Source organism: Homo sapiens, chromosome 11 (genome assembly GCF_000001405.40).
Source record: "Homo sapiens chromosome 11, GRCh38.p14 Primary Assembly".
NCBI lineage: Eukaryota > Metazoa > Chordata > Mammalia > Primates > Hominidae > Homo > Homo sapiens.
Window position 1 is genome coordinate 9,563,354 of NC_000011.10, and position 8,444 is coordinate 9,571,797.

The following is an 8,444-nucleotide window of genomic DNA, read 5'->3' on the forward strand; positions in this document are numbered from 1 at the left end:
GTGTGGCTCCCAAGTCCACTGGCTCTGGGCCCAACACAGGACTAAGCCTTGCCTAGGAGTTGCAGTCCTTGTGGCCTAGATAGCCTTCCAAGTTTATTTAGGACCCTAGAGGACATTAGCCTGTGGTGGCAAGGCTTGCCAAAACTCAAGTCCTGACCACTGGGATGAGTGATTCCCCTCTGGGTAAGGCTGGTCCAATGCTGCCCTTATGGGCACCGGTTGAGTTCTGCCCAGTGTTGGCAGCACTGTGTTCCAATGCAAAATCCCACAATAGCTGCACTTGCCCTCCCTGAAGCACACAGATTCTCTCTCTGTGCCATGCAGCAGCTGCTGGGGAGTGGGGGAAGGGTCTGTCAAGGCTGTACAATTCAAGACTGTATTTCCTACCCTCTTCAGTGGCTCTTTCAGTGATAGGAAGTTAAAACCAGGCACTATGATCGCTCACCTGATTTTTGGTTCTTATGATGGTGCTTTTTTGTGTAGAAAATCATTCAGTTTGGTGTTCCTGCAGGGATGACGATTGATGGAGGCTTCCATTCAGCCATCTTGCTTCCAACCATCCAATTTTCAATTTTTGTTTTGTTTTTAGACAGTCTAGCTCTTTCGCCCAGGCTGGAGTGCAGTGGCATGATCTTGGCTCACTTCAACCTCTACCTCCCGGATTCAAGCGATTCTTGTGCCTCAGCCTCTCGACTAGCTAGCTGGAATTACAGGCGTGCACCACCACACCCAGCTAATTTTTGTATTTTTGTTACAGACAGGGTTTCACCATGTTAGCCAGGCTGGTCTGGAACTCCTGACCTCAAGTGATCCACCTGCCTTGGCCTCCCAAAGTGCTGGCATTACAGATGTGAGCCACCGTGCCCAGCCCAATTTTCAATTTTTTGTATTTCTTCAGATGTTTTCCCTGTGATAAATATGTTTGCTTTAGGTTAATTTTCTCGTTTGTTTGTTTTTAATTGAATCATTATACAGTTCTCCATTATATGTTTTTGTTTGTTTTTTGAGACACAGTCTTGCTCTGTCACCCAAGCTGGAGTGCAGTGGTAAAATCTCAGCTCATTGCAACCTCCGCCTCCAGGGTTCAGGTGATTCTCTCACCTCAGCCCCCCAAGTAGCTGGGATTACAGGCATGCACCACCACACCTGGCTAATTTTTGTATTTTTAGTACGGTCTGGGTTTCACCGTGTTGATCAGGCTGGTCTAGAACTCCTGACCTAAAGTGATCCACCTGCCTTGGCCTCCCAAAGTGCTGGGATTACAGGTGTGAGCCACTGTACCTGGCCCTTTTCTCCATTATCTTATAGACATCTTTTCATTTTGTACATATAGTTCCAGCTCATTATTTTGCAAGCTATAGTTTTTTAGCATTTAACGGAAATTTGGGTGGTTTCCAATATGGAGTATAATAAACAATGCCAATATTTGGTTTTGTAAACTTTCCCCCAGATCTCTCTGTGGCTGATTTTCTCACTCCATTCAGGTTCCTGCTCAAATGCCACTTCCTCAGAAAAGCATTCCTTGATTTCACTATTTTAAACTAGCACTTTCCTCCAACCCTCTACCACTTCTTCATCCCTTACTTTACTTTCTGATATCAATCTTTGTAATTTTTCCTCTTGATTTTAGAGTTTAAAATACATTTGGATTTTATGATGAAACAAAAAAATAAGGTACAAGTCTGACTCCCCCTGGATCCCATTGTCCACATTCACACCATCAAGTTGTGTGCCGGCATACCTGGAAGGATGACTCTAGACATCACACTGCTCAACTAGCCTGGCCTCCCAGCTGGGTCCAGTGTGACCCTGCCTTCATCAAATCTCCCTGTTTCACCCTTCACCTTATGCCCTTCTTACTGGGGTAGGAAGAACCAGGCTTTAAGTCAGCAGCAATAAAGTCTCAGAAGGCTGGGCATGGTGGCTTACACCTGTAATCCCCACATTTTGAGAGGCTGAGGTGGGAGGATCCCTTGGAGTTTGAGACTGGTCTGGGCAACATAGTGAGGCCACGTCTCTACAAAAAAAAATTGTTTTTAAATTAGCCAGGTATGGTGGCATGTGCCTGTAGTCCCAGCTACTCAGGAGGCTGAGGTGGGAAGATTGCTTGGTCCCAGGAGGTTGAGGCTGCAGTGAGCCATGATTGTGCCACTGCACTCCAGCCTGGGTGATGAAGACCCTGTCTCAAAAAAATAATACTAAAATAAAAAATATTGATAGGTCATTGGATGGGTAAATGTAAAATTTTTTTTAAATTTTAAAATTAAAAATAAAGTTTCAGAAATATAGTCTCAGTAATACTAGTTCTATGATTGTATGATGAAGGCATTTTTTAACCTGTGTTTCATTTTCATCTGTGAAATGTGAATAAAAATAACTCTCTTACAGAGTTCCCGTAAAGATTAAATAAGTATGTAAAGCATCTGGGTCAGTGCCTATCATATAGTTGGCACCAAAATATTCTCCCCTCTCCCAGCTCCTGCAAAGGCACCCCAGCTCTTTGCAGCACTTAGGGCCTTTCTCATATTCTGACCTGTATTAAGCAAATGTGCAGCTGGTAGGATAAGATGCTTGAACGTAGTAGACACTCAATAGAGGACTGCCAAGCAGAGTTGATTTCTGTAGTTAGAAACTAGTTCATCCTTACCAGTAATTTTTTTTTTCTTGTATACACTCCCAATCGGCTTATCGGCTTATCATGTCACACACAACTGGTTACTCTCTACCCAACTAGATACTGGATGAGGTCATCTCTCAATCCTGTCTGAGCTGAACAAGGCCTTTTATGGAACTTTAAAGTTGACTCACCACTGAGTCATCAAAACACAGCAATACCTAAACACGCTCCTGTTGCTAACAAAAGACCAGCATGGGATGTCTGTCTTACCTCCTTTCCCTCCCCTAATGAGACACGGCCCCTTGACTCACTGGAGAAGAGTCATCACGTCTTTTGTGCTGCAGTAATCTGAACGAAGCCAGTTTAAATAATCACAATGTGGCCAGCAAACAACTGGCAGTCCCTGTGGTCATTCAGGTCATTTCCTGTGTATGTCACTAACCCAAAAGGAGAGGCAATTAATCAATCACCTGAATATTTAATAAGTGCCTGCATTCTGTTGGGCACTCACAGTTCCCTCTGTTTATGACATTTCTGTGAAGTGAACTTTTCAGTTATTGAAACTCATTAAAAATATAGAGAACAGTGTTGCGGGAAGTCAGGGACCCCAAACGGAGGGACCACATTAGAACAGCAACCTTTGTGCCTCTGTAAAGGAAATAAAAAAAGGAATATTGGAGAAAATGGGACTATTCAGTTCCATTCCAATAGAAAAGAATTATAAAATAGCAAATAGGAAGGGGTTATTTGCTAATGTTTTGGCTAAATGCTTCAGAGAGCTATAATTTTAAAATATCTTGGTTGAGAACTACTCTCTTATCTAGGAATGAAATGGTCAGTGGTATTTTCTCTTGGGAAAAGTCTTGCGTTAGTACCACTGCCTGACCTATTGCAGTGGACTATGAAGTGTTTCAAGATTAGGGGGCCTGTGTAAGGCTGAGAACTGCTGAGATAACTAGGAGTAGGCCTAAGGGCTCCTTTCATAAATAAGGCTGGTTACAGCTGTTTCATACATGAACAGATACAACCTTTAAGTACCCTAGCATGGTCTTTCCTAGCTGGAGACCCCAAGGAAAACCTGAATGAAAATCTTAGATCTTCAGACATTTTATATAGAATCCATACAATTGATATACCCATATCCAAAGGATATAATGATCTACCCTTGATCTATCTTAAATAAATATCAGAACGATGCATGGAAATTGCATGTTAGTAGTCCTTAAAGATTAATTTGGCACGACAAGAAATGTTTATTTTATTAAAATAAATACAAGCTCTTAACTGGTTGTTTTTCCTGGGTTATGCTTCTCAAGTTCTTATTACATAGATACTGTGTTCTGATTTGATCTTCCTAGCTGGTTGTGCATAAACTTGAGCCCATCCATATTAAGTAAATTAATTTTGGGGACATCAGGAGTCACATATTGCAATTACTGACTATAAAGCCATTAACAACTATGAATTTTTCTCAAACAACATTGCTATAATTGAAAGCATACTTATAACTTTTTTTTTTTTCCCCAGACAGGGTGTTGCTCTGTTGCCTAGGCTGGAATGCAGTGATGTGCTCACGGCTCACTGCAGCCTCTACCTCCCAGGCCCAAGCAATCCTCCCACCTCAGCCTCCAGAGCAGCTGGGACCACAGGCGCACCATGCCCGGCTAATTTTTTAAATTTTTTGTAGAGAGGGAGTCTCCCTATGTTGCCCAGGCTGGTCTCAAACTCCTGCGCCCAAGGAATCCTCCTACCTCGGCCTCCCAAAGTGCTGAGATTACAGGCATGAGCCACCATGCCAAGCCAGAAAGCACACTTATATTTATTGAACACTATTCACAAGAGATAATGCTAGTCTCACATTTAATAAACTGAACAATTGGCCAGGCGCGGAGGCTCACGCCTGTAATCCCAGCACTTTGGGAGGCCGAGGCGGGCGGATCACGAGGTCAGGAGATTGAGACCATCCTGGCTAACACGGTGAAACCCTGTCTCTACTAAAAATACAAAAAATTAGCCAGGGATGGTGGCGGGCCCCTGTAGTCCCAGCTACTCGGGAGGCTGAGGCAGGAGAATGGCGTGAACCTGGGAGGCGGAGCTTGCAGTGAGCTGAGCTCGTGCCACTGCACTCCAGCCTGGGCGACAGAGCGAGACTCCGTCTCAAAACAAAAACAAAAACAAAAACACTGAACAATTAGAGAAGAATTGAGTTTGACGGTACTGTACTCTCAGGGTATGCTGATGAACATGCGGTGAAATGGTCAAATAATCACATCCATCAGAGGTTATTAAGGCACGTGATGAAGTAGAGAAATCTAATTTATAGCTGGGAAGTCAAACAGGAGCAATCTAGGAGCTACCACGTTCTAGCCTGAGATTTGTATTCCTGAGGCCAATAGGCAGCTGGTAACAGAGCTGGGTTGAAATAAATTGAGACTTGCTGTGAGAACAAGCATAAGGAGAAAGGTAAAGATAACAAGGAAGGTGAAGAAAGTTGAACTCTTTAAGCGTATTATTTGTCTTTTAAGTGAAAAACTGACATTTGACTAATGTGTCTTTTTTTTAAAGTTAGAAATCTATCAGAGTAGGGTCCTTAGAGAAACTGATTATTTCTCCAGAATAAAGAGCATATTAATAGAAAAGATTCAGCTTTCGCTAACGGCTGACTAGTCTTAACGAAACATTCCTAAAGGCTTTGCATCACTGAGAAAAGTTAGTTCCTAGTTCTGAAGGATTTCATTCAAAGTGCAAGGCTCATGTTAATAGGAATATGCATGCATATTCATGTGCTATATGTATTAAAAATACTTGAGAAGGTGATTTAGAAATCTCAGTTTTAAATCTTCATGGGAAGAATCTTGCTTGTTTTGTTGCCAAGGAAGGTGAATGGGTTGAAAATAGTTTTAAAGCCCTTTACGTGCGAAGTCATGAATCTAAAGAGGATAAACAGGTTAGGTTTGTTATCCCAGAAGCTAGAGGCAAGATTTTTACTCAGTTCTTTCAACATTACCACAAGCATGTGGATTCTGCAAAAGTTGCCTAGCAACATTAGTTAGAAACAACATTGGGTGGAGAAAGGAACTGGAAATTTGAATTAGATACGGCCTGGGGCAGGCGGGTGTAACCCATCTCTCCAGTACAGTGTGTGCTTTACTCAGAGGAGCGTGAAATTTTAAAAATCAGAACAGTCACTTAAAATTTCAGTTAGGATGTTGCTACAGTTAAACCATAATATTGTGCCATGTTCTCAGCTTGAAGAGGCAGGGCCTGGGTTTCTCACTTTTGTTTTGTTTTGTTATTTTGGCACTTTTGTTTTAAAGATCACTGGATTTTCATTAAATTATTCTAGAAACATTTATTAAGCACTTTCTCAGGGGCCAAGGCACAGTGCTGGTTGCTGGAGCTCTGAAGACAAACACAGTTTGGACCCTGCCCTGGGCAGTGTGAAAACCAGACAAGTAAACAAAGTAAGAGTGTTACATAGTCCGTGCTGGGTGCGGTGGAAAGTCTGGAGTAGGGAATGGAGAGTCAGGAAAGGCTTCACAGAGGAAATGGCTCTAGCACTGAGTCTTGGTTTCAACTTAAAAAAAAAATTCCTTCAGCCAGGTGCAGTGGCTCACACCTGTAATCCCAACCCTGTGAGAGGCTGAGGTAGGCAGATCACTTGAGCTCAGGAGTTCAAGACCAGCCTGGGCAACATGGTGAGACCCGGTCTCTACAAAAAATACAAAAATTCACCAGGTGTAGTGGCACTTGCCTGTAGTCCTGGCTACTCAAGAGGCTGAGGTGGGAGAATTGCTTGAGCCCAGAAGGGGAGGTTGCAGTGAGCCGTGAACGCACCACTGCACTCCAGCCTGGGCAATAGAGCAAACCCTTGTCTCAAGGAAAAAAAAAAAAAAAATTATTTCCCCCAATCATTCTACACATTTATTGTGAACTTACCTCTTCGATTCTGTGTGAGGACTTCAAAGTCCTGGGTCTGTGGACCAAGAACTCTTCCCTTCCCATCCACAACCCAAGCCCTTCTGCCTGCCTTAGCCTACTTCAAAGACCTCCCATTTAGGGACGCAGACAGGTGGCAAAGTAGGAGTTGACAAAACAAAACAAAACATTGTTAAGAGTGTTTACCTTCAGGAAGGGGAACTGGGCTGGGATTTGAAGGGATAGGTGGGAGAATTTTGTACCATTTAAGTTTTTGTTACTGGAGTGGGGAAAAACCATGGGGAAAAATAGGAAGTGTGATGGCTGCTACCTCTACAATCTTGCATTAAATAGAGTACTAGAGTGGTGATCTCTGTTCAATTTTTTTTTTTTTTTCCTGAGATAGTTCTCGGTCTGCTGCCTAGGCTGGAGTGCAGTGGCACAATCACAGCTCACTGCAGCCTTCATCTCTCAGGCTCAAGGGATCCTCCCACTTCAGCCTCCTGAGTAGCTGGGACCACAGGCATGTGACACCATGCCCAGCTAATTTTTAAATTTTTAGTAGAGGTGAGGTCTCACTATGTTGTCCAGGCTGGTCTTGAACTCCTGGCCTCAAGTGATCCTCCTGTCTTGACCTCCCAAAGTGTTGGGATTGCAGGTGTGAACAACTACCACACCCGATTCAAAATCTTAAATAGGCAAACTTATCTGCAAATGTGCCAATTTAGGAAGCGAATAAACCAACAATTATTTAAATAAGGGCTCTTTTATCACTCACAAGGGAGTGAACGCCTAATCCACGTTAGAATACTGCAATAAACAAGGGTCCCCTACCCTCGGGGACCTTATTTTTCTAGAAGGAGATAGTAATAAACTAACAACGTACTTTGAGATAGAAATAAGCCTGCTAAGGAAATAAAGCCAGGTGTTGTGAAAGAGCAAAGAGTGAGGGAGGGGACGTGAGAACAGAGATACGGAATTCTTACATAGGAGGAGTTTAGGAGCATCAGTCTAGTTGTGGAGAGGCAACTAAAGGGCTTTAAAGTCCCATTTACTTAGAAAGCACACTATTTTCACATGCAGTTTATGTTACAGATCGATAAAAGTAGGGTTCTCTATTTTTATTTATGCTTCATAATAAATTGAGAAAATGTCAATTATATCAAATAATTATATTTGTCATCAGGAGTGGCAGGAGGGGGCCCACAGCCTGGGCAATATGGTGGCTCATGCCTGTAATTCCAGCACTTTGGGAGACGGAGACGGGCAGATTGCTTGAGCCCAGGAGTTCTAGACCAGCCTGGGCAACATGGTGAAACAGAGTCTCTACTAAAAATGCAAATATTAGCTGGGCGTGGTAGCACACATCATTAGTCCCAGCTATTTGGGAGGGTGAGGTGGGAGGATCTCTTGAGCCTGGGGAGATCGAGGCTACAGAGCCGTGATTGCACCACTGTACTCCACTTTGAGACAGGGTGGACAGAGTGAGACCCTGTCTCGAAAAATAAAAATTTAAAAAAAAGGAGTGGCAGGAGGGGAAGTGTTGGAGCAAGGGTTCTGAAAATCACTCCTTGGCTTTGGCCACTGTGGATCATTGACTAACTCTCCTTATACAAGTCTAGAATTCTTGTCCTCCAAGAGCTTAAAATTAAGTTTGCATGACCATATAAAAAACACATTTATACACCAGTTAGCAAATGTTAGGAGAAAAGACAGCTGTTGATCCTTCACTGTGTCTTCAGTTGTGTGATCTCAGGAAATTCCCGATTTGATGTGTTAAGTACTACCGTGTGTTTCAAGAAAAATTCAGCTTGAGTTTATTTAGCCTTTGAAAAGCATTAGAACAACATATATGACAAAGTGTTAATATGCATAAAGTGCTAACAATAAGAAAAATAGGCAATAGAGA

The 8,444-nt window shown here is 42.8% G+C and overlaps 3 annotated features.

Annotated features, from left to right (window-relative positions):
• Nucleotides 1–500: an enhancer, noted in NCBI's record as "H3K27ac hESC enhancer chr11:9584901-9585400 (GRCh37/hg19 assembly coordinates)". NCBI's record gives its function as "activates a minimal SCP1, AML or CMV promoter by ChIP-STARR-seq in naive H9 embryonic stem cells {active_cell/tissue: H9 hESC(naive)}" and the evidence as "EXISTENCE:reporter gene assay evidence [ECO:0000049][PMID:30033119]".
• Nucleotides 2,650–2,759: an enhancer, noted in NCBI's record as "active region_4409". NCBI's record gives its function as "activates an Ori minimal core promoter by ATAC-STARR-seq in GM12878 lymphoblastoid cells {active_cell/tissue: GM12878}" and the evidence as "EXISTENCE:reporter gene assay evidence [ECO:0000049][PMID:35858748]".
• Nucleotides 5,644–5,713: a silencer, noted in NCBI's record as "silent region_3128". NCBI's record gives its function as "represses an Ori minimal core promoter by ATAC-STARR-seq in GM12878 lymphoblastoid cells {active_cell/tissue: GM12878}" and the evidence as "EXISTENCE:reporter gene assay evidence [ECO:0000049][PMID:35858748]".